The sequence below is a fragment of the Homo sapiens genome, chromosome 4 (assembly GCF_000001405.40).
Source record: "Homo sapiens chromosome 4, GRCh38.p14 Primary Assembly".
In the NCBI taxonomy this organism is placed as follows: domain Eukaryota; kingdom Metazoa; phylum Chordata; class Mammalia; order Primates; family Hominidae; genus Homo; species Homo sapiens.
In genome coordinates this window covers 170,332,930-170,360,103 of record NC_000004.12, presented here as the reverse complement: position 1 = coordinate 170,360,103, position 27,174 = coordinate 170,332,930, and the positions used below count along the sequence as shown (strand labels likewise).

The 27,174-nt window shown below is 38.1% G+C and overlaps 1 long non-coding RNA gene across 1 annotated transcript in view, besides 3 other annotated features; it reads right to left on the bottom strand.

Moving 5' to 3' along the window:
• LINC02512 (long intergenic non-protein coding RNA 2512) overlaps nt 1-17,283 on the bottom strand; it is a 56,319-nt gene extending 39,036 nt beyond the window's left edge. The window contains exons 1-2 of the long non-coding RNA XR_001741530.1: nt 16,975-17,283; nt 9,449-9,534 (exon numbers count right to left, since the gene is read on the bottom strand). This is a non-coding gene — a long non-coding RNA (long intergenic non-protein coding RNA 2512). The remainder of the gene's footprint in view (nt 1-9,448; nt 9,535-16,974) is intronic.
• Nucleotides 20,139-21,338: an enhancer, noted in NCBI's record as "P300/CBP strongly-dependent group 1 enhancer chr4:171259917-171261116 (GRCh37/hg19 assembly coordinates)". NCBI's record gives its function as "activates an origin of replication core promoter dependent on BRD2, BRD4, P300/CBP, MED14 and CDK7 cofactors, with strong dependence on P300/CBP, by STARR-seq in HCT116 cells {active_cell/tissue: HCT116}" and the evidence as "EXISTENCE:reporter gene assay evidence [ECO:0000049][PMID:35650434]".
• Nucleotides 20,242-20,291: an enhancer, noted in NCBI's record as "active region_22148". NCBI's record gives its function as "activates an Ori minimal core promoter by ATAC-STARR-seq in GM12878 lymphoblastoid cells {active_cell/tissue: GM12878}" and the evidence as "EXISTENCE:reporter gene assay evidence [ECO:0000049][PMID:35858748]".
• Nucleotides 23,349-23,488: an enhancer, noted in NCBI's record as "active region_22147". NCBI's record gives its function as "activates an Ori minimal core promoter by ATAC-STARR-seq in GM12878 lymphoblastoid cells {active_cell/tissue: GM12878}" and the evidence as "EXISTENCE:reporter gene assay evidence [ECO:0000049][PMID:35858748]".

Genomic DNA, 27,174 nt, shown 5'->3' with positions numbered 1-27,174 from the left:
ATCTCAATAGATGCAGAAAAGGCCTTTGACAAAATTCAACAGCCCTTCATGCTAAAAACTCTCAATAAACTAGGTATTGATGGGATGTATCTCAAAATAATAAGAGCTATTTATGACAAACCCACAGCCAATATCATACTGAATGGGCAAAAACTGGAAGCATTCCCTTTGAAAACTGGCGCAAGACAGGAATGCCCTCTCTCACCACTCCTATTCAACATAGTGTTGGAAGTTCTGGCCAGGGCAATCAGGCAGGAGAAAGAAATAAAGGGTATTCAGTTAGGAAAAGAGGAAGTCAAATTGTCCCTGTTTGCAGATGACATGATTCTATATTTAGAAAACCTCACGTCTCAGCCCAAAATCTCCTAAAGCTGATAAGCAACTTCAGCAAAGTCGCAGGATACAAAATCACAATGTGCAAAAATCACAAGCATTCCTATACACCAATAATAGACAAACAAAGAGCCAAATCATGAGTGAACTCCCATTCACAATTGCTTCAAAGAGAATAAAATACCTAGCAATCCAACTTACAAGGGATGTGAAGGACCTCTTCAAGGAGAACTAAAAACCACTGCTCAGTGAAATAAAAGAGGACACAAACAAATGGAAGAACATTCCATGCTCATGGATAAGAAGAATCAATATCACGACAATGGCCATACTGCCCAAGATAATTTATAGATTCAATGCCATCCCCATCAAGCTACCAATGACTTTCTTCACAGAATTGGAAAAAACTACTTTAAAGTTCATGTGGAACCAAAAAAGAGCCCACATTGCCAAGACAATCATAAGCCAAAAGAACAAAGCTGGAGGCATCATGCTACCTGACTTCAAACTAGACCAATTGAACAGAACAGAGCCCTCAGAAATAATACCACACATCTACAACCATCTGATCTTAGACAAACCTGACAAAAACAAGAAATGGGGAAAGGATTCCCTATTTAATAAATGGTGCTGGGAAAACTGGCTAGCCATACGTAGAAAGCTGAAACTGGACCCCTTCCTTACACCTTATACAAAAATTAATTCAAGATGGATTAAAGACTTAAATGTTATGGACACCCTAACATCACAATTAAAAGAACTAGAAATGCAAGAGCAAACACATTCAAAAGCTAGCAGAAGGCAAGAAATAACTAAAATCAGAGCAGAACTGAAGGAAATAGAGACACAAAAAACCCTTCAAAAAATTAATGAATCCAGGAGCTGGTTTTTTGAAAGGATCAACAAGATTGATAGACCACCAGCAAGACTAATAAAGAAAAAGAGAAGAATCGAATGGACGCAATAAAAAAATGATAAAGGGGATATCACCACCGATCCCACAGAAATACAAACTACCATCAGAGAATACTACAAACACCTCTACGCAAATAAACTAGAAAATCTAGAAGAAACGGATAAATTCCTTGACACATACACTCTCCCAAGACTAAACCAGGAAGAAGTTGAATCTCTGAATAGACCAATAAAAGGATCTGAAATTGTGGCAATAATCAATAGCTTACCAACCAAAAACAGTCCAGGACCAGATGGATTCACAGCCGAATTCTACCAGAGGTACAAGGAGGAACTGGTACCATTCCTTCTGAAACTATTCCAATCAATAGAAAAAGAGGGAATCCTCCCTAACTCATTTTATGAGGCCAGCATCATTCTGATACCAAAGCCAGGCAGAGACATAACAAAAAAAGAGAATTTTAGACCAATATCCTTGATGAACATTGATGCAAAAATTCTCAATAAAATACTAGCAAAACAAATGCAGCAGCACATCAAAAAGCTTATCCACCATGATCACGTGGGCTTCATCCCTGGGATGCAAGGCTGGTTCAATATACGCAAATCAATAAATGTAATCCAGCATATAAACAGAGCTAAAGACAAAAACCACATGATTATCTCAATAGATGCAGAAAAAGCCTTTGGCAAAATTCAACAACCCTTCATGCTAAAAACTCTCAGTAAATTAGGTATTGATGGGACATATCTCAAAATAATAAGAGATATTTATGACAAACCCACAGCCAATATCATACTGAATGGGCAAAAACTGGAAGCATTCCCTTTGAAAACTGGCACAAGACAGGGATGCCCTCTCTCACCACTCCTATTCAACATAGTGTTGGAAGTTCTGGCCAGGGCAATTAGGCAGGAGAAGGAAATAAAGGGTATTCATTTAGGAAAAGAGGAAGTCAAATTGTCCCTGTTTGCAGACGACATGATTGTATATCTAGAAAACCCCATTGTCTCAGCCCAAAATCTCCTTAAGCTGATAAGCAACTTCAGCAAAGTCTCAGGATACAAAATCAATGTACAAAAATCACAAGCATTCTTATACACCAGCAACAGACAAACAGAGAGCCAAATCATGAGTGAACTCCCATTCACAATTGCTTCAAAGAGAATAAAATACCTAGGAATCCAACTTACAAGGGATGTGAAGGACTTCTTCAAGGAGAACTACAAACCACTGCTCAAGGAAATAAAAGAGGATACAAACAAATGGAAGAACATTCCATGCTCATGGGTAGGAAGAATCAATATTGTGAAAATGGCCATACTGCCCAAGGTAATTTACAGATTCAATGCCATCCCCATCAAGCTACCAATGACTTTCTTCACAGAACTGGAAAAAACTACTTTAAAGTTCATATGGAACCAAAAAAGAGCCCGCATCACCAAGTCAATACTAAGCCAAAAGAACAAAGCTGGAGGCATCACACTATCTGACTTCAAACTATATTACAAGGCTACAGTAACCAAAACAGCATGGTACTGGTACCAAAACAGAGATATAGATCAATGGAACAGAACAGAGCCCTCAGAAATAATGCCACATATCTACAACTATCTGATCTTTGACAAACCTGAAAAAAACAAACAAGCAATGGGGAAAGGATTCCCTATTTAATAAATGGTGCTGGGAAAACTGGCTAGCCATATGTAGCAAGCTGAAACTGGATCCCTTCCTTACACCTTATACAAAAATCAATTCAAGATGGATTAAAGACTTAAACGTTAGACCTAAAACCATAAAAACCCTAGAAGAAAACCTAGGCATTATCATTCAGGACATAGGCATGGGCAAGCACTTCATGTCTAAAACACCAAAAGCAATGGCAACAAAAGACAAAATTGACAAATGGGATCTAATTAAACTAAAGAGCTTCTGCACAGCAAAAGAAACTACCATCAGAGTGAACAGGCAACCTACAAAATGGGAGAAAATTTTCACAACCTACTCATCTGACAAAGGGCTAATATCCAGAATCTATAATGAACTCAAACAAATTTACAAGAAAAAAACAAACAACCCCATCAAAAAGTGGGCAAAGGGCATGAACAGACACTTCTCAAAAGAAGACATTTATGCAGCCAAAAAACATGTGAAAAAATGCTCATCATCACTGGCCATCAGAGAAATGCAAATCAAAACCACAATGAGATACCATCTCACACCAGTTAGAATGGCAATCATTAAAAAGTCAGGAAACAACAGGTGCTGGAGAGGATGTGGAGAAATAGGAACACTTGTACACTGTTGGTGGGACTGTAAACTAGTTCAACCATTGTGGAAGTCAGTGTGGCGATTCCTCAGGGATCTAGAACTGGAAATACCATTTGACCCAGCCATCCCATTACTGGGTATATACCCAAAGGACTATAAATCATGCTGCTATAAAGACACATGCACACGTATGTTTATTGCGGCATTATTCACAATAGCAAAGACTTGGAACCAACCCAAATGTCCAACAATGATAGACTGGATTAAGAAAATGTGGCACATATACACCATGGAATACTATGCAGCCATAAAAAATGATGAGTTCATGTCCTTTGTAGGGACATGGATGAAATTAGAAAACATCATTCTCAGTAAACTATCGCAAGAACAAAAAACCAAACACCACATATTCTCACTCATAGGTGGGGATTGAACAATGAGATCACATGGACACAGGAAGGGGAATATCACACTCTGGGGACTGTTGTGGGTTGGGGGGAGGGGGGAGGGATAGCATTGGGACATATACCTAATGCTAGATGACGAGTTAGTGGGTGCAGCGCACCAGCATGGCACATGTATACATATGTAACTAACCTGCACAATGTGCACATGTACCCTAAAACTTAAAGTATAATAATAAAAAAAAGATTTAAATGTTAGACATAAAACCATAAAAACCCTAGAAGAAAACCTAGGCAATACCATTCAGGACATAGGCATGGGCAAGGACTTCAAGACTAAAGCACCAAAAGCAATGGCAACAAAAGCCAAAATAGACAAATGAGATCTAATTAAACTAAATAGCTTCTGCACAGCAAAAGAAACTACCATCAGAGTGAATAGGCAACCTACAGAATGGGAGAAAATTTTTTCAATCTATCCATCTGACAAAGCGCTAATATGCACAATCTACAAAAAACTTTAAAAACTTTATAAGAAAAAATCAAACAACCCCATCAAAAAGTGGGCAAAGGATATGAACAGACACTTCTCAAAAGAAGACATTTATTCAGCCAACAGACACATGAAAAAATGCTCATCATCACTGGCCATCAGAGAAATGCAAATCAAAACCACAATGAGATACCATCTCACACCAGTTAGAATGGCAATCATTAAAAAATCAGGACACAACAGGTGCTGGAGAGGATGTGGAGAAATAAGAACACTTGTACACTGTTGGTGGGACTGTAAACTAGTTCAACCATTGTGGAAGTCAGTGTGGTGATTCCTCAAGGATCTAGAACTAGAAATACCACTTGACCCAGCCATCCCATTACTGGGCATATACCCAAAGGATTATAAATCATGCTACTATAAAGACACATGCACTGTATGTTTATTGCAGCACTGTTCACAATAGCAAAGACTTGGAACCAACCCAAATGTCCATCAATGATAGACTGGATTAAGAAAATGTGGCACATATACACCATGGAATACTATGCAGCCATACAAAATGATGAGTTCATGTCCTTTGTAGGGACATGGATGAAGATAGAAACCATCATTCTCAGCAAACTATTGCAAGGACAGAAAACCAAACACGACATGTTCTCACTCATAGGTGGGAATTGAACAATGAGAACATTTGGATGCAGGGTGGAGAACATCACACATGGGGGCCTGTCATGGGGTGGGGGAAAGGGGGAGGGATAGCATTAGGAGATATACCTAATGTAAATGTGGAGTTAATGGGTGCAGCACACCAACATGGCACATGTATACATATGTATCAAACCTGATGTTGTACACATTTACCCTGGAACTTACAGTATAATAATAAAAAAAGAAAAACCCATGTATATGTGTTTCAATAAAAATATGACCTCAAGTATTTCAGGTGCTACGTAAGATAATAAGCTTAATATAGTAGAAAGTAAGGTGGCCTCTTTAATGATTGATATTTATCAGCATAATAATTTGTGTTTAAGTAGAGGTGTTCTAATACGAAGACGAGCACATTGCAAACTAAATAGCCTAGTTTTGCTTCATCTTGTGCTGGTGTGATACTTGTTAAGTGAATAGTCTTTCATTATAAGTTTAATCTTTAATTCAATGAGTACCCCCATTCCCCTGCAAGGGATGTGAATTAAGATTTAAACAGCAGCCTATTTCAACATTCATTGCAATGTAGTCACTCAAGAGATCAAACACATACAACTTCATACTTTTTGGGTTTTTTTTTTTTTTTTGAGACAGGGTCTCACTCTGCCACCCAGGCTGGAGTGCAGTGGCACAACCTCAGCTCACTGCAACCTCTGCCTCCCGGATTCAAAGGATTCTCCAGCTTTGGCCTCCCGAGTAGCTGGGACTACAGGCACCCACCACCATGCCTGGCTAATTTTTGTATTTTTAGTAGAGACGGGGTTTCACCATGTTGGCCAGGCTGGTCTCGAACTCCTGACTTCAGGTGATCTGCCCACCTTGGCCTCCCAAAGTGCTGGGATTACAGGGGTGAGCCACCATACCCGGCCAACTTCATACTCTTTTAAGTGAAGGAAATAGACTAGGCTATACCCTTGAGAAAAATGTATAGGAGATTGAAGATTTAAGTAAAAACAAACAAAAAACGTGTTGAGAGAAAATAATAAAATACTGCAAAAAGAAAAATTAGGAAAATGTGGACATCTGTCATTCAAGCCTTTTTGGTAAATGGAAAACTGAACCCTGGATTTTCTTCATGAAGCTTTGTCCTGTTCATTTGAATATCATCCAGAGAACGTATGAAGCAATGAATGTGGCTGCTTCCGCCGCAATAGCTCTGACACTGGCTTGACACTGGAGGCATCCAAAAGAAATGGCTTTGGCACACAGGGTGAATTTTTTCAGGTATTTCTTAGCCTGGAAGCTGTTCTTTTCCTGCCAAAAACCCAACCCTATCTATAACAACCTCTTACCGCTAGTGTAAAGAAAAGGGTAGACAAAGCTAAGAGAGATTTTAGAGAGCACAGCCATAGGTGGTAACTGGCAGTGTGGATGGCATTTTCAGAGCCTGCAGTGAGGAACAAACCTTTAGTAACCAATTAGGAACCTGGGGAGTTAAAGCTATAAAGTGTGATTGATAAAGACTTATGTAATAATTAACAGCAGGGTATTGCATACAGAGAAAATAAAAACACCCTTGTGTTAGGATAAATGTCGTAAGAGAAAAATGTAGGACACAGAAGAGTAATATCGGATCCTGGGGCTGGACCTTGCACACCAGGGTCCCAGTCTCAGCAGAGCCCATATGCCCTGCCTGGCACAGCGGCAGTGAAATTGTTCACCTTCAAGAATCTACAGAGGGCATTTAGGAGGGGATGACAGTTAGAGGCATTCACCTGTTTTCCCAGTAAACTCACACCTCCTGAGAGGTATATGTGGATTAATACATAACCATCATAAGAGAGAGAATGTGCACTAAAATGACTCAAGTTGAATTTTCCACTAATTTGAAGACAGCAAGAAAGGGGAGCATGGATATTTAGTTTCATTTAGAGAAAAATAAACATACATGCGTGTGTTTTTTAGACTCAACTAATTTTGTAAAGTACAACTCATAGCAAATGTGTATATAGCTAATTGTTTAGTAAACTAGTAATTGTGTAATACTTTTCTATTAGCACACGTTTAATTCTCCCAAACCTATGCTTTTCTGTTGTCTTTAAAAATATCAGGTCTGTAAACCCAGTACTTTGGGAGGAGAATCGCTTGAGCACAGGAGTTTGAGAATAGAATGGACAGCATGCAAAAACCCTGTCTCTACAAAAAATACAAAAATTAGTTGGGCATGGTGGCACACGCCTGTGTTTCCAGTTACTTGGGAGGCCAAGGTTGGAGCATCACTTGAGCACAGGATGTGGAGGTTGCAGTGAGCAGAGATCATGCCACTGCGCTCCAGCCTGGGCAACAGAGCGAGAACCTGTCTCAAAAAAAGTAAAACAAAACAAAAAATTCAGAAGCCCCTTTGAAATCGTTTTAGAGGATTAACTGAACAAAAGCCAACCCAACAAGCACTCCTATCACAGACAAGTGGCATACCTTTAAGAAAGGTGCCCAGGTAAGCTCCCTACTGTGTGATTCATGCCACAGGAAGAGCCTTGCGGAGGTCTTGATGCCTTTGTTTTTTACCTAAACTTGACTCAATACACACCACACACCAAATTCTTTTCATTCATGCCCTTAAGCCCTGAAATATTTTAGACATTTTGTATTTCCTTCATACTTTAAAATCATATCCACCATCAGGATCTTAAAGTGGAAGTTACTTACTGTTGCTATAAAAAAAAATATCCACATAATATCTGACTTCACTTGGGCTTTTTATAACTTCTTTTAGAAAAGGAATGGAACTCAGCATGAATTCCTGCTTCCAACAGAAGTCCAGGCATAGTTGCCAGTTCTATGAATCCCAAGTATCTGTACTTACAATAGTAAAAAATAATAAAAACTTGATATCTACCTATTTTTTAAACCTAAACTGCAAAAATATTATATTGCTGCAGTTAAATGGTGCTTCGTGTTATAGCTGAATTTCTCTATGTGTTTCTAACCCTGAATAAAAAGAACTTCAGTGGACTCACGATTCGAGTGACTGTTAGTTAAGTCTTCTTTGTGTGTGTTCTTTACTTGATCCTCCCGCAGGATGGCCCCCTCTAGCTTTCATATATGTGTGCTGTGCTCCTTTGGCTTGGATGTCCTGGCCAGATACTTATAACTATAGGTTGGTGCAAAAGTAATTGCAGTTTTTGCTATTAATGGCAAAAAACACAATAACCTTTGTACTAACCTAATACATGCAAGGGGCTGAGGTAGGAGGTGGGATTTGACTCCAGAGGTGGGGCTTGGACACGGAACAGATTGAGGACTAGCTAAAACAGGGCCTGGGCAAAGCAGCTTTCAATCAGACATGTCCAATAGTGTGCCATGTCAATTTACTCTTGCCATGGCAACACCCCGTGGTTATCACCCCCTTCTGTGGCAGTGACCTAATGACCTAAAGGTACTACCCCCTCCCTAGAAATTTCTGCATAAGTCACTCCTTAATCTGCATGCAATTAAGAGTGGATAAAAATATGACTGCAAAACTGACCTGAGCTGCTAGTCTCTGCCTAAGGGGTAACCCTGCCCTGCAAGAGCAGCCATAGAACCCACTGCTAGAGCTGTAGCACTGCCTCTTCAGTAGCTGTTTTCTTCTACCTCTGTCTTGTCCTTGAATTCTTTCCTGGGCAAAACCAAGCCCTCTCATGAGCTAAACTCCATGTCGGGGCTCACCTGCCTGCATCAGTGCCTAATAAGTATTTGTCATCTCTGGGTTAAGACTAAGATACGGTACAGGTTTGATGGTTATAGCAAGTGAAGACAAATTTTCAATCAAATCCTTATCTAATAGTGTTTGAGGATAGGACTAACTTACATTTATGGGCCAACTATTTTATATCAGGAAACTGTAAGTAATCACTTTTTTGTGTTTTAAGAATCACGGATTCACTTAAGGCACATCAAACTTCATTTGTGATGCACGTCTGCTATGATGGTAACGTTAAATCAGTCGTTGTCAAAGAGCTTGTTAACTTGGAATGGGTTGATTATGTTAATGAAGTTACAGACAACAAAATTCCTAATCAACTTAAGTATCCTTTTTCTTCTGGAAAAAAAACCACCTTTTTATCTCCTTTAATACTTATCTACTACCATTTCTATGCACTAACTGCTCTTATAAGCATTTTATACATATTATCTCATTTAGTCCTCACAACTCCTTAAACTGACTCTGTCATTATCCCTATGTTATTGGTAGAGGCAAGCGGAAGGTGAGTGCTTTGCCAAGATCAGCCAGCTAACATGGGGAGCTGGCTTCCAAACTAGGCAGTCTGGCTCCAGAATCCACATCCTTAGCTCTTAACCTTCATATATCCTCTCTATGCTGCCTCTTTGACTCACCATTAAATGAGGAGCAACCCTCAAAACTTCGTTGCTTCACTTTCTGTTGTGAAAAAATTCTGCTTCTGTTCATAGGAACCAGAAAACTACAGGAGGAAACGAGAAATTTGTTAGCATAAAAAATAAAACAAGATGAAGCTGACACTTTACGAAGTCATCGATCTCAGCCTAGCCTACTAAAATCACATGGACTATTATTCTTGATGCCTCTCTGTATCTCTCTTCCCAAGCTTGCATAAGACCAGGATTGATGACAGTGACATAGAGCAGTGGTTCTCAACCAGGCACAATTTCTGTCCCCTCGCCCCACCCCTGGGAATATTTGGCAAAGTCCAGAAGCTTTTTGAGTGTCACAATTGAAGGAATCTATTGGTTAGAGGCCAGCAATGCTGCTAAACATCCGGCAGTGGACAAGATAGCTTCCCAAAATGAAGACGCATCCAGTCGAAAATATCAGTAGTACCACTGTTGATAAACCCTGACTTAGGGTATTCCATCTTCACAGATATTCATGTCAGCAGCAGTATCAATCTTTGGCCTTGTGGCTTCAGTTGATTGGATATAAAGCATAGTACTAATGAGCTATAGCTCATCCATCCTACATTCTCCCAGCCACTTTTTTTGTCTTTATGTGGCTATGGTGGATGACATGACTTTGAGGTCTAAAAAACTTTGGAAACCCCCAAAGAAAATTTTTTAAACATCTGCTGTAATTGTCACCTAATTATCGAATTATCTAAGAAGGAACCCTTTGACAAGGAAATGCTGTCAAATTAAGGGAAAAACAAATTCCATTTACCCCTTGTCATTTAGAAAGGCAAAGAGATTTAGCAGCCATCAGAGATGTACAATTTTCACATTCACCCATCAACGCCTAAGGAAAAAAAAAAGAGTTTCAGGGAATGAGTTTGACTCATACTGTTATGCTGGAGCAGTTACTGACAGGGAAGGTATGAAAACAAATCATATCCCTCAACTCAAAGAAGATTACAAAGATGTTTGCCTCTACAGAAACAGACTTGTGTAAAAAGTTATTTCTGCAAAATATAATACGTAGAAATATCCTTAATGACAAAAACAAATTCTTAGAGATTTCTCATTTTTTGTATTATTTTCAAGTACAAAAGGAGTCAGAAATGAAAGTAAATCAAAATGATTCTTTGAAATGCTATAGTTCATATGCAAAATGCTGCTACTAAAACACCAGCAGTACAACAGGTGCATAATTGTCCTATACTGAATCTACCTAACAGCCAGTGTGTCACCAACTCACATTTTTGAACAAAGGCATGAGTTTTCTAGGGCTGGAGTTTCAAATGAAGAAAACCAACACCCAAGAAAAGAAGCCTCCTTTATTTTTATGTTATAACCAGGGTGGTGCTGGTTTATGTTATAACCAGCACCATCCTCAAAGCACAGCTATGAATATCACCTCCCACGCAATGTGTGCACATTTCTAGGTTAGTGGGTTGAGGGTCAATGTATAACATAGGTAGAGTATAATCTATATTATGCTTAGTCAACAATATTTCCTTTATGGAAGAAACAATGCTCCCAGAATCCCAACTAACAAGTCACAAGGCCATTTTTCACACTTCGGAGGTAGATAAGAATACAGAAAAAATGAGCAAAACAGCCCATAGTGAAGATATGACCCTAAAATATAAAAAGTATTTTTTTCCACAGAAGAATAAGAAATAATAAAGTTTTCCACAGAGAGGGATTGCGTTACGATTACTAACATACATGAAATGTATAAAAGTTGTCTTCAAAAGGCAAATCCTCAGATCTTGTACCATAAATTTAGGAAGCCACAAATATACAGAATGGGAAACATAACCATCTCACTTTGTCATCATTAAGGGAAAAATGAAAAACACTATGTAAATTTAGAAATTCACATCATTTATGGGTTATCTACTTGACTCATTTTCAAACTGTTAGGTCTTTATACATACAATTTCCTATCTGAAGATACTCTCAGACTTGTCTATCATTTATTTAAACATACTTATCAAAAGTTTCTTCCTCTTTTAATCTGTCAATTTCTAATAGCCTAATTAATTTATAGAATATGTTCCTCCTGGCTGTTTTGTTCTGCTGGCTACCACACTTACTATGCTTCATTTCTTGTATGGTCAGTAATTGTTTATAGGGAGCTACTCATTTTCCTGAAAAATTATTTGTGTGAATTCTCTGAGATGAAGATGAAGTTGTATTACTCCAGAGAAGGTTCGTCTATGCTTCCACCAGGAAATTTTACAGTTCAATATTTCATTGAATTGAAGACATTGTTGATCCTTGGGTACATTTTGATGTAAAATGTGGGGGCAGGGAGGATTAAGTGCATGACAGAATCAATGAAATACAATAAATTTATGGTTTGGGATTTTATGGACAATCCAAAATATACATCTTTGGACACCAAATCCATGCTGGCTTAGAGTTACAACTCTTCAGTTGAATTTCCCATCCCACTCCCGCTCTTTGAAGCATCAAGACTAAATTCCTATAATCTCTTTAAGGTAGGGAAGGTGGAAAGGGAGATTTTCCTCTTGTTCCTCACAGAATGAGGCAAATGCCATCTGAGTTCAGCTTTCTGGAGTTCTCCTATCAGACTCCTCAACTTAGAAGAACTCTGGTCTTTGTCTTTTGAGGGAATTCTGTTCTTTTGATCCCATACTCCACTAGATTAGAAAAATCAAGGTTTTGGCAAGTCCCCTTCTGACAAAAACAACTCTATTGCTATACTTATCTCCCTGGGCTTCTGTCTTCAATTTGACTTTGGCCCTAAAATTTTGTATTATCTTGTCATCTCTGCCATGTTTTTAAGGAGATGTATTTGTATTTTATTCATTCTTTCAGCAAACTGCCTAGCCACTATATTACTGGACAGAGATAGCTCTATTGAAATAACTACAATCCAACTTTGGTATTATTTCTTAGAAGAAAACTGAGCTGCAATTCAAGATGGTAGTTGACAGAGCAGGAGCACCGTCATCTCGGACAAACACCACTACTTTAAGTTCCAGCTCCCTTTCTAGCCTCATGCATTTCAAGGAAATCACTTCTCTTCTAACTATAAGCAGCCAGAAAGAGCAGACAGTAAAACACAGATAAGACAGCTTGGGCACAGAGGGAGGTGGGGGAGAGTCTCTTGAGTAACTGCCAAACTTCCCTCATACAATGGGCCCCAGCAAAACAGTGGGCCTTAATAAGCACATTCCTTTCCTTTCAGGATGCACTGAAATAGGAAAGCTAAAAGCAGACTCGGGGGTATGCCTGCAGCTGCAGAAAAGTGTATGGGAACAGACACACAACTCTCCCTCCCAAATAAGCACAACAAAGGGACACAGAAGCAGTCCAAGCCTCTGATAAACTCTCCCACCCTGAATCCTTAAAAATTCTCAGTCTGTAAAAGAGTGTGCCTCTGACCTAACTTGGCCAGAAGCTCCTCTCTGGTTCGTTTTCTCTAAAATAAACCTGTCTTGACTGGCAAACCACCTTTCATGTTTCTTTCCTCTTTCTTTAATTCTTTCTTTAATTTAATTTCTTTAATTCTTTAATTTCTTTCCTCTTTCTTTAAGTAGCACATGCAGTTGCCTCCTGACTTTCTTGAGAAAATTTTAAAGTTATGGTAAAGAAACATAAAAAATAAATTATGACAGTAAAGAAAACAGGGGGCAGCATCAGCAGGCTAGAGATTTTTACACACTTCTGGAAGATGTGGTAAAACAAAGAGTATTGAATGACTTTTTTAAAATTTTGAAAGTTGCCAAAAAAGTAGATTTTAAGTGTTCTCACCACAAAAAAAAAATGAAAGTATGTGAGGTAATACTTATGTATATTAGCTCAATTTAGCCATTTTACAATGCATACATTATATTGTATACATGTATTTAAAATGTGTACATATTTCAAAGCAATATGTTGTCCATGAAAAATAAATACAATTTTTTGTTGCTCAATTAATATTAATAAAATAAAACAAAAACAAACAAATGAGTGGGGGAAAGATCTGAAGGTCTCAGATCAAATATATGTGAGAGGGAGATGCATAGAGGTGGTAGCTGATTTTCCTGGTGCAACAACTGATCAGTTGTGAGCATGAAGTTAGGCTGAAAACAGGTGAAGTAATTGAAATTATGTCCTCAGAACAATTGTGCCAGTTCTTACCTGTTCTTACCCATGTTTTCTCTCTCTCTCTCTCTCTCTCTCACACACACACACACACACACACACACACACACACACCCTTCCTTCTATATCCCAGGTAAAACAATTGGTGTTAAAAGTGAACATTTTCCTGGGAAAAACTAGATGTTGCTAGTACAAAGTCCTGATGACCAACAGAAAGCATTTAGAGTCCTACAACTTTATAGCTGGCTTCCCACCTGCTCAACCTGAAGAAAACCCTGCCAGGTGACAAGCCCTACCCACTTACAGAGAACTGTCAATCAGACTTCCCAGTCAGGGGAGAGTTCTTTAGGGGAAGCAAGGCAAATGAAATCCACACCGGGTACCTGGAATATTACCTCCTCCCATTTAAGTAAAAAATAACAACCAAGAATTCCCAGACATATAAAGAAAAACAAAAGCATAAAAATAATTGACTATCATAGATTCACTGTAAATTGGAAAAAGGGACCTGTTTGGGGATGACAAAAATGTTCTAAAACTGAATTGTGGTGCAGGCTGCCTGCACAAAGTTGGGGAATTATTTAAAAACATTAAATTTGACACTGAAGGTGGGTAAATGCTATTTGTGGTATGTAAGTGATACCTCAATTAAAGCTGGTTTTAAAAAGCAATATACTGATTAAAAAACGGTGTCAATGCGAAAATAGCACCAGATCATGTTAAACAAGTAAGGAAGACTTTATTCAAGGATATTGCAATAAGGGAGAGAGCTCAGCTTAGTCTGAACTCGACATTACTAAAACAAAGGGTGCAGGAGAGCTGGGATGGAGGGATGTGTTTGCTAATTGGCCTTACCCAGAGAAAAGGTAAACATTCTGTTCTATCTTCATGACAAGAGGTGGTTTTATAACTTGGAGCAAGGTGTCCATTAGAATTAGACTCTTCCCCAAATACTGAGCCTGGGAGATAGGGGCACTATCTTTCTTGATGATTACATTTCAAAAGGATGGCTCCCAGGTTCTGGAGAGGAACAGTCCTGGGTTGCAAAAGTGATAAGAAGCTTTTTTTTTTTTTTTTTTTTGAGACGAAGTCTTGCTCTGTCACCCAGGCTGGAATGCAGTGACGTGATCTCGGCTCACTGCCACCTCTGCCACTCGGGTTGATGCCATTCTCCTGCCTCAGCCTCCCGAGTAGCTGGGACTACAGGTGCCCGCCACCACGTCCAGCTAATTTTTTTGTATTTTTAGTAGAGACGGGGTTTCACCGTGTTAGCCAGGCTGGTCTTGAACTCCTGACCTTGTGATCCACCTGCCTTGGCCTCCCAAAGTGCTGGAATTACAGGCATGAGCCACCGCTCCCGGCCTAAGAAGCTTTTTTAAAGATTTGCATCTCAAAGGGACAGGGAAATAATTTATAATTGCCAGTTTTCTAAAGTAAATGCAGTAAGAAAAGTGAGTTTAGAGGCCTAAAGGCAAGAAGCATGTCTAAAGTTTAGTCAAGCTGAGGGGAACTTTAAGGCCCTCTTGATGACAAGCAACCCAACAAAAGAAAATAATTGGCCCCCAAAACAAAAACAGAAAAACAAGAGGGCAAAAAGCATTCACTACTTTTAAAATTTGTTAACTAATTTTTGCAGATGCATTAAAAATTGTATCTCTAAAATAAGAACTCAAAAGTCAGCATACAATAATCATCTCTTCTCCAAAATAATAATTATAATAATTTAAAAATTTATGAAATCATAGAAATTTCCCAGAAAAGGGGGGGAAATGAGAAACAATATGATGGAAAATATAAATGTATTATTTCCTTCAAATCCCCAAAAGTTGTAAACATAAAATGTGCTGAAAAGCAATACACAGAAACCAAATTCCATTACTAAGAAAAACTTGGGCGGCAAAAACTTTCAGTTTATATTATATGACCTGGCTTTTCACAGTATTTTCTACCAAAAAAAAATGCAACTTATTTTTCTATGTTGGATCAAGGAATAAGGTGGAAAGAAAAGATTTTACAGACATTTGGGATAAATTTATTTTTTAAGAGGTGAGAACCACAGAGAAAAACTTGAGCTTTATGTTTGACATTAATATACTTCTGAATGAATTATTAAATAAGCACTTGGTATTTTTTGGTATACTTCACCTGTGACTTGGCCTCTAAAATAATTATCACAACATGGTCTGGTGAAATGAAAAAGCTAAAATTAGGCTTCAGAAAGTCATTTTTAATTAAAATGCTTTGATTACACTTTAATATATCTTTTGTGTCATGTTGCTTCACTCTTAATATTACTTTTTCTTTTACTTTTGATCTCTTGATTTGGAACAAAGAAATTAATGAAAAAATTAATTACACTGGGCTAAAAGGTAATTACAAAATAATCAGGAATTTCTAATAAAAAAATTTATAATAACTTTGCTGCTGTTAGAAATCTATTCCCTTTATGTTATGTAGGTAGAAGCCAGAGATTATAACTACTTTACAAGGTAAACATATGTCACCTCAGCATTGAAAATGTTATCAACAAAAATGCCAGAGTTGACAGTTATCAGAAAACTTGTCTCCCTACAGGTCAGCCTTGGGTTCTCTAGTACTATGAATCCAGTTAGTAAGGTGGGTATTTCGGGGGAGGGGAGCCCTTGCAGGTATTAAGAGTCTGGATAAGATGGTCAGTAATACAGAGAAAAACATGTATGATGCAAGTTCATTTGGGTAGTGGAATCCAGAAGGCATCTGGACCATGAATCTAGTTAATGAGGTTGGGAATGGGGTGGTAGGGTGAGGAATTCTTACAGATATCCAAAGCCTGTAAGAACCGAAGGGAAAGAAAGAATGATGATGGGTTTCCAATTAGTCTCAGGGTTCTGGGACCCACATGAACCATGGCATGGGGTTCTGCCACTAGGTACCAGGTAGCAGCACCCAGGACACCTGAAAAAAGGAACTGAGGCATAAAAAGAGCACTTTCTTCTTCCCTAAGACAAAGGCTCTTTATTCCCTGCCCAGTGCAACATGAGGTTCAAACTCTGGGCAGACTGAATTCATAAGCAGGAACAAGTAAGTCTACCAGACAAAAGTCAGTAAGTATGAATAAGTATGCAGTAGCAGAAGCGAGAAAATTCTGTCAGGCATATTTCTCATGTGGTAGATAAAGCATTCACTCCACATGAAAATCAGGATAAAATTGTATATTCTACAAATTCACATATCTATTAGTGGAGGTTAAAACAGCGTGAGCATTTTAACATATCAGGAAAACAACTTGAGATAACAGAATATTGAGGACAGAAAGGCAAAATCAAACATTCCTTATTCAGGTGCTTTTGTGGATTAGATATGCTGAGCTCTAAAACCATAGGAATGATGCATCTTAATACTCTTACCAAGAAATGTAGCTTTGCTTCCTTCAGCCGATCTTGAGCAGCTCCAGAAAGGATGGTCCTGTTAATTCTCTAGCAGATGTTTTAAGCAAGATTTAGCTTAAGTTAAAGCAATGACCAATAGACTTTATATATTTTTTAAATTAATCCTCACCTAGAAAATTGATAGAAGTTCATACCAGCCTCTGGCTTGCTAAAATTTTTACTTACTGTATCTACTTAGGTTAATAAGTATGAAGTTCAAATAATATGGTTTTTGTTATCTTATGTTCAATGGATTTATTTGCTACTGCTCTACTTGTGCAATTTGCTAACAAGCTCCTTCTAAGGCATAGACTACACGTGGGAATCAGAAAAACGCATCCACTGCAGCTCTCTTCATAATTGCTGAAATGATGACACAGAGAGGAGGAAAAAGTGGACAGTATTTCCTATCTGTCATCAATTTGAGGGAATCAAAGGCATTAATTAATCTGTAGTTTTAACCCTGACTGCACGTTGGAACCATGTGGCTCATCTAAAATCAATTCATAATTTCAGCGTATGTTACCCAGACCTGGAAATTTTCCTAGGGTCTTGGGTAATTCTCCTGTACAGCCAGGATTGAAACCACTAGGTTAAAAGGCCATTCTTAAGACTCAGTTTTGGATTCAAATCCATGTTAATTCTCTAGTGCAGTAGTCCCCAACCTTTTTGGCACCAGGGACTGGTTTTGTGGAAGACAATTTTTCCATGGACTGGGGCAGGAGGGGATGGTTTGGGGATTATTCAAGTGCATTACATCTAGTGTGCACTTTATTATTAATACATTGTAATATGTATAATGAAACAATTATACAACTCACCATAATGTAGAATCAGTGGGAGTTCTGAGCTTGTTTTCCTGCAACGAGATGGTTCCATCTGTGGGTGATGGGAGATAGTGACAGATCATCAGGCATTAGATTCTCATAAGCAGCACACAACCTAGTTCCTTTGCACGCACAGTCCACAATAGGGTTCATACTCCTGTGAGAATATAATGTCACCGCTGATCTGACAGGAGGCGGAGTTCAGGAGGTAATGTGAGTGACGGGGAGCAGCTGTAAATAGAGCTGAAGCTTTACTTGCTTGCTGGCCACTCACCTCCTGCTGTGCAACCTGATTCCTAACAGGCCATGGACCAGTCCATGGCCTGGGGCCTGGGGACCTCCTACTCTAGTGGGCAAAGGACACAATCATAAATTTTTCAAAAGAAGACATACAAGCAGCAACAAACATATGAAAAAATGCTCAACATCACTCATTACTCATCAGAGAAACACAAATTAAAACCACAGTGAGACACCAACTTAAACCACTCAGAATGGCTCCTATTAAAAAGTCAAAAAACAACAGATATTGGTGAGGTTGAGGAGAAAAGGGAATGCTTATACACTGTCAGTGAGAACGTAAATTAGTTCAATCCCTATGGAAAACAGTGTGGAGATTTCTCAAAGAACTAAAAATAGAATTACCATGTGATCCAGCAGTCCCACTATGGGTATCTACCCAAAGGAAACTAAATCATTATATTAAAAAGACCCCTGGCCGGGCACGGTGGCTCATGCTGTAATCCCAGCACTTTGGGAAGCCAAGGTGGGTGGATCATGAGGTCAAGAGATCAACACCATCCTGGCCAACATAGTGAAACCCCGTCTCTACTAAAAATACAAAAATTAGCTGGGCGTGGCGGCATATGCCTGTAGTCCCAGCTACTCAGGAGGCTGAGGAAGGAGGCGGAGGTTGCAGTGAGCTGAGATCACACCACTGCACTCCAGCCTGGCAACAGAGCAAGACTCCGTCTCAATTAAAAAAAAAAAAAAAAAAAGACCCCTGCACATGTATGTTTATTGCAGCAGTATTTATAACAGCAGTCATGGAATCAATCTAAGTGTCTATCAATGGATGCTGGATAAAGAAAATGTGGTACATATACACAATGGAATACTACTCAGCCATAAAAGAAATTGTGTCTTTTGCAGTAACATGGATGGAATTGGAGGCCATTACCTTAAGTGAAATAACTCACAAACAGAAAGTCAAATACTTCACATTCTCCCTTGTAAGTGGGAACTAAACAATGTGTACACACATGGACATACAATTGGAATAATACACATTGGAAACTACAAAAGGTGGGAGGGTGGGGGTGTGAGGGATGAGAAATTACCTACTGGGTGTGGTGTAAACTATTCAAGTGATGGGTACACCAAAAGCCAAGACTTCACCACTACACAATATATCCATGTAGCAAAAATGCATTCATTCCCCTAAATCTACTTTTTAAATTGTAATAATAATTTTTTTAATGTATTTGACCTTAAGTGAGTCACTTCACCTGTATGATTCTGTTTCTTTACCTGTAAATAATACCTACCTTTTAGGGTTGATACATGGGTTAAATGAGATTATCTATTTAGGTTCTAGAGCCTGGCACACTGTAAACTCTCAATAAATGACAGGTTTTGTTTTTAGGTAGAATCTAAAACTCCATATTAACTATGATATTATTAATTCACTTTTTGATGATCCTAAGCAGTAGTATATAGTAGCACCTATTATGAAAGCAACATTGACATACATCCCCCTAAATAAGTTAATGTTCTCATCTCAATTGATCTTTTTGGTGGAAATAGTTTTAGATGCTAAGGAAGTAGGCAAGAGGTTCCTGAAGAGAGGCATATTACAATATATACTTTATGTATAGCAGAATTTCACTATTTAACAAAAACAAAGCAAAAGAAAAAAAACTAAAAAGACCTAAAAAGAATTCAGTGCTAATGCTTGCCTCCAAAAAAAAAGTATTTATCACACCAGATAGCATGTTTTCAATTGTCTTTCTTAATGAGACTTTATCATCCATCTAGTTATAATGGATACAACTGCATATCTTAGAATCTACACTTTTAGGTAGTTTTGACAAAATCATTAATAAATAAGATGAAAAGAACTTTTAGGCATCAATTGGCATATCAGAAGGCAAAGTAAAACTTTACATAGCTATAAGAGGCAGCAGAGTCCCTTGTACAGTAATGACAATTCAGACTACTCTTTCTTTTAGCTAGATAGAGAAAATAGTGTGAGAAACAAATTTTCAGTGCCACAAAAGAAATAGCACTGAAACATAAATTTAATTTTCTCAGCAAGGCAATTTTTACTTCTATAGAAGGGTGCAACTCGTGAATGGAGTAATGGCCAAAGCACACCTGAACAAGGGAGGGGAAGGAGTTCTTATCCCTGACGCAGGTAGCCCCCACTGCTGTGTCATTCACCTATTGGCTAGGGTTGGACTGCACAGTCTAAGCTAACTCTGATTGGCTATTTTAAAGAGAGCAGAGGTACAAGCTGGAGTGGTGGGGTGAGTAGTTTAGTGGAAAGGACGGTTACAGAACAGGTGACTCAGGATGACTCAGGTCAGAGCAGATGACCAGGGGTGACTCAGAATGGAGCAGGTGATAGAGGCTAGGAGGGGGTTGTTTGCTGAAACTAGGGGCAAGGAGACAAAGAGAATGAGGAAGTTAAACTTTCAAATGAAGAACAAAGAACAGGGGAGGTGAACATACTGATACATTGGTTCTTTGGAGAGGATCTCAGAACTCATTGTACTTAACAATTTACAGGCTAAAACCTTTGAAGAGGAATTTATTATGCCCTACAATAATACTGTGCCTCACTAGGTTGGAAGAAAAAAGTGGGCTATCAATGAATTAATGTTCAGCTCCCTTAAGACGAATCTGCAGTTTGTCTCATATATGTTGACAGGACACAACAAAGAAACATCCTCTCTGAAATCTGTGTGTGGACAAAAGTTGTCAAATGTCTACCGGACCCCAGTCCCAGCAGATAAAACACATCATTGTACATAGGACTTTCTGTCTTTCATGTTAATCTCTATTGCATTGTCTCAATCTCAAAACAAGACTGCCATATAAGAAGGTGTTACCCATTGTATCCAGCTGACAGTGGTGACATTGAGTGAGTCAAGCTAATAATGCTTAAACGTGGAATTCTCATGAATCTCGTTTAACACTTTTGCCACTTGCCAAGAGAAACACAATAACATCTGTCATTGAGGAGTTAATAATCTAGGAACAATCCCAGATTTACGTTCAGAACAAATCACCCACCACCAACGTAACTCCATTTCAAACTTAAAAGGACCTACCTCCCTGTGAAACACACAGCTGTTTTCCTGTGAACTGTTGAAGGAGTCCTTCTGTATTCCACATGAGATCATTATTATGAAAAGACTTTGAAAACTATCAACCAAAGCCTTCACAGTAACTCTTTGAACCTATTTTTTAATTGATGAGTAATATTTTATATATTTTATGAGGTACAATGTGATGTTTTGATATAGGTTTACATAAGAATAATTAAATCAAGTTAATTAACATATCTATCACCTCACATACTGTTTTTCGCAGTAAGAACATTTAAAATCTACATTTTAAAACAATTTTGAAATACACAATGCATTATTAATTACAGTCACCATGCTGTGCAATAAATCTCTAAAACATATCCCTCCTGTCTAACTGAAACTTTGTACCCTTTGAACATCTCCCCATTCCACCTACCTCCCTCCAGCCTCTGGTAAGCACCATTGTACTCTACTTCCATGAATTCAACTTTTTTTGATTCCACATATAAGTGAGATCATGCAGTATTTATATTTCTTTCTTCTTTCTTTCTTTCTTTCTTTCTTCCTTTCTTTCTTTCTTTCTTTTTCTTTTTTTTTTTTTTGACAGAGTTTTGCTCTTGTTGCCTGGGCTAGAGTGCAGTGGCACGATCTCAGCTCACTGCAAGCGCCACCTTCCAGTTTCAAGTGATTCTCCTGCCTGAGCCTCCTGAATAGCTGGGATTACAGGCACCCACCACCATGCCCAGTTTTTAGTAGAGACGGGGTTTCACTATGTTGGCCAGGCTGGTCTCGAACTCCTGATCTCGTGATCTGCCCGCCTTGGCCTCCCAAAGTGCTGGGATTACAGGTGTGAGCCACCACGCCCAGCCAGTATTTGTCTTTCTATGCCTGGCTTATTTCACTTAACCTAATGTCCTTCATGTTCATCCATGTTGTCACAAACGCCAGAATTTTCTTCTTTTTTAAGACTGAATAGTATTACATTGTCTATATATGCCATATTTTCTTTATCCTTTCATCCATTGATGGATGCTTCTAAGTTTGACTCCAATTCGAAGGAATAAATTATATTTCGAAGATTTTTTTTTTTTCATGCTATTCCATGGCTCTGGAAATGTCTGGACCAAAACAGGTATCATCAATGTATTCTTCTTACTTGTCATTGTAAAAGTCCTCTTAGCATACATGGGCAAAGCTAATAGTAAGTTAATTTTAAAAGTTTGTTAAAAGGATAAGTCAAAAACATATAGGTTTTAATTTTTTTATTTTATCTAAAAATGTATACATTTGCCAATGTACTTATATATAACAAAGGCTTTTTTTAATTAAAGAATGAATCTGCTGGTTGAAGTCTTAAGACATCTTATTTGCAGTAATCCTTAGGCTTTAGTATTTTATTTAAATACAATGGAAATCTAAAGATTCTTACAATAATCAGAGTATATAACCTTTTGAAAATTTAAGATTTTCTCTAATCTTTTGTAGTCATCTTGCCCACACATAATTTGATTATTTTTATTACCTTTATTATAACCTTTCCAAAGACTTCAACTTAGTCTTCATAGAAATAAGACACTCTTTTATTCACAATGTCGTTAGTTTCTATAATATTTGCTTGTAATATATTATTACCAAAATAAATACAACTGTCATAAATAGGTTTGGGAACCAACAACTAATTCTTGGCAAGCAGGTGCCTCACTGCAGACTTAGTAAAAAATAATCTACTAGCTGTGAGCATTCAGCATGTCCTGGCCATAAATTAGAAAATGTTCCCTAGGGAATGGCAAGGTTTGATTTCAGTGAGTCAGTCTAACAGAGGTGCATTTAAAGAACGTCATTTATATTTGATGAGTGTTTTCATTTCATCATTTCACCTGACTCTCTTACTTGATTATAAACTCCATGAGGACTGAACTCCCTTAAGGAACTGACACTTAGTTATACACCTTACAAACCAAACAAAAACATCCGGACTAATTTTAGTAAAATGTACTTAAAAAGTGAAATTATCAGTAAGCCATTCAGGTAGTGTATCTACATGATTACAAAGCTTCAGTTTCCTCTTTTCAAAGTTATTTTACATCTCTGTTTTTAAACTACAAATGATGCTATGTTTAAATATGCTTTAAAATGTATGTAATAATAAGCTCAGACTGTAACTAAAATCAGATTGAATCAGATGTAGGTTTGTAAATGATCTGGAAACCTTTTAGGACCATTGCTAGGGGAACATTAAACCAGCAGAGCAGTGTTTAATGAGTGAGTCATCTCTTTATTTTTAAATTAACAATAACACACTAATAAGGTAAAAAAAAAAAGTGAAATGAAACTGCAGGGAAGCTGGTGATAAAATCATAAAGGTTTTATGGTGATAAAAATCATAAGAGGATTCACACAGAACAATCTACATAACGGTTTCTTCCTCTTTCTATGTAGCAAAGGAAAAAGGGGATAAAATGAATTTTCAGGAACATAGCAGAGACCTTCCAACACAACGAATGCTAAAATACCTGAGAAAGCTCTGCCCCTGCTAGCTAACACCTAGAAGAGTGAGTGAGCCACTTGTGTCTATAAGTGGAAAGCAGCTCCTGGCGATGGGTCCTGGAAAGACAGAAGCTAAAATCAAGACAGTTTCAGAATGAGTTTGCTCTGATCTAGATAGAAGTAGCATGACATAAATGAGAAACAGAGATGACTGGCAGAATTAGATGTTTTCTCACCAATTTTCAACCAGTGTTCACATTTCTTTAAATCTTGTATTTTAATTGCATCTCAAATTTTTTAAAGTTTATATCAGCATGAATTAATTTTTAACAGCTTTATTGAGGTATAATTAATATACAGAAAAACCATACTGCAAGTTTGATCAGTTTGGACCAATTCATGCAGCCAGAGATACCATCACTGAAATCAAGTTATTAAACATATCTATCACCTCCCAAAATGCCCTTGTATTCTTTTATGTTTTGTTTTTGTCATTGTCTTTTATGTTGTTTTTTTTGTGATAAGAACAGTCAACTTGAGATTTATCCTCTTAACAAATTACTGTGTCTAATACCATATTGTTACCTATAGTCACTGTGTTGTACAGAAGATTTCTAGAACTTATTCATCTTTCATAATTGAAATTTTATACCTGTTAAGCAACAATTCCCCATTCTTCCCCTCCTGACAACCTCTAGCAACCATCATCCTATTTTCAGCTTCTATGCGTTTAAGTATCTTAGATACATCATATAGGTGAAATAGATGAACCTAGAGGGAGTTATGCTAAGTAAAATAAGCCAGTCACAGAAGGACAGATATTGCATGATTCAACTTATATGAGATATCAATTAATTCTTTATTATTTTAGATACGAATTCTATTTTTGTAGCAAAAATCTGAGTAGAAATGTGGGCTCTCCTCTATATCACAATTGAGATTGTGGGCCTGACTCTTCAAAGCCAAATTGAGTGTTGACCATTATCCAGGCAAAAGATCATCCAGATTTCAGACAAAATCATGAAGGTGAGCAGCTTCTGGAGTTGCAAGTCAAGACAAAAACATGAAAGAACCATCAAATGGATCTTTTAGTGACTCATTAAAACTTTTACTTTCTATCCACATATTTGGAATTATCTTACAAGTCATATGATAGCAATAACAACTGTAGTGACAGAGGTTAAATGAGGCTATTAAAGAAAAGACAAATGGAACTCGTAATTAAATACTACCAATAAAAATCATATGATCATTTAAGCAACTTTAACATAAGACATGTAGTCAGCACTTCCAGTAATAGAAGAAACATTCTTTTTTTTTTTCGAGATGGAGGGTCGCACTGTTGCCCAGGCTGGAGTCCACGTGGAGTGCAGTGAGGCAATCTCGGCTCACTGCAAGCTCCGCCTCCTGGGTTCACGCCATTCTCCTGCCTCAGCCTCCCGAGTAGCTGGGACTACAGGCGCCCGCCACCACGCCCAGCTAATTTTTTGTATTTTTAGTAGAAATGGGGTTTCACCATGTAAGCCAGGATGGTGTCGACCTCCTGACCTCATGATCCGCCCGCCTCAGCCTCCCAAAGTGCTGGGATTACAGGCGTGAGCCACCGTGCCCCGGCCCGAAACATTCTTAAACAAGCTCTTGCCATGAACTTTCTTACAGAAGTGCAAAGAAACATCTAAGAAAAGAGGTTATGAAAGTTTACTAAAAGCATTTACTAAAAAAGTAACTTCACTTAAACAGAGATTTTGAAAAAAAAAAAACCCTCACAAATCTTTAAGAAATTTCCTAGCTGATTTAGGGTAGAACACAGTTCCTTATGCTGGAGATGTGAGCACACATCTCCAAATGATTCCTGTTTACATTTCCAGCTAGAGTTGATGTTCTTTTAGTAAACTTTCAAAAAATTTAAAAAAGAGATTTTGAAAGTAAACTTTCAAAAAATTTAAAAAAGAGATTTTGAAAGTAAATTTTCAAAAAATTTAAAAAAGAGATTTTGAAAGTAAACTTTCAAAAAATTTTAAAAAGAGATCTTGAAAGTAAACTTTCAAAAAATTTTAAAAAGAGATTTTGAAAGTTTACTAAAAGAACATCAACTCTAGCTGGAAATGTAAACAGGAATCATTTGGACATGTGTGCTCACATCTCCAGCATAAGGAACTGTGTTCTACCCTAAATCAGCTAGGAAATTTCTTGAAGATTTGTGGCAGTTTTTTTGTTTGTTCGTTTTGTTTTGTTTTTTTTGAGATGGAGTCTCATTCTGTCACCCAGGCTGGAGTGCAGTGGCGCCATCTCGGCTCACTGCAACCTCCACTTCCCAGGTTCAGGCAATTCTCCTGTCTCAGCCTCCCGAGTAGCTGGGACTACAGGTGCAACTAATTGTCATATTTTTAGTAGAGATGGGGTTTCACCATATTGGTCAGGCTGGTCTGGAACTCCTGACCTCAGATGATCCACCCACCTCGGCCTCCCAAAGTGCTGAGATTACAGGAGTGAGCCAACATGCCTGGCCTTAAGATTTATTAGACAAAAGAATGTCCCCATTTAGAGTACGTTCTTTGATTCTGCTTTTTTGTCATTGTTGTTGTTTTTGATACAGGGTCTCACTCTGTTGTTCCCCAGGCTGGAGTGCAGTGGCGTAATCACAGCTCACTACAGCCTCAACCTCCTGAGCACAAACAATCCTGCCACTTCAGCCTCCTGAGTCACTGGGACTACAGGCATGTGCCACCATGTCTGGCTCATTTTTTTTCTTTAGAGATGGGGGCCTCACTGTGTTATGCAGGCTGATCTCACCTTCAGCGATCCTCCTGCTTCTGTGTCCCAAAGTGCTGGGATTACAGGTGTGAGCCACTGCACCCAGCCCTATGCACTCTTTAATTCTAATTCTCCTAATTCTATTTGTTAGATCTAAATAGAATGCAGGTAACCATCTTTGACCCATTTCATGCTTCTAACCACACAGATACACACAGGCACATTCATTTCATCATATTAAATAGCTCCAGTGCTTCCTAAAGTTCTATAGCATGGCATCTTCTTCCCCAGACCCTTCCATTAACTGTCCTCAATTTGTGCATTTTTCCCTTAAACTGTGGCACTTAGGACTAAAAGCAATCAGCAAAGTGTTGCCTGACACACAGAAAAGAGAAAGATAATGCCTCCCTCATTCTCTAAACTACATTTCTATTAATTTAGCCAAAGTTGCACTAGCCTCTATAGCGATCATATCTGATTGATGATTCATATTAAATGTATTTTCAGTTAAAATCTCGTTCCATTTTCCATGCTTTGTGCCATGTCTGTCCCTACTCTCATGGGATTTGAGTTCACCAGTGTCGGATTTTACTTTCATCCTTAATAAAAGTAATATTATTAGGCATAACACAATTTCCCAGTCTGATAACTTTTTCAGTGGCTCCTGATGCCACTGCTCACTTTCCTTCTAGGCTGCACATCATACAAAAAAAAAAAAAAGTATTTTTCGTATGTTAATTTTCTTTTTTTTTTTTTTTAAACATGGTCCCACTCTGTCACCCAGGCTGGAGTGCAGT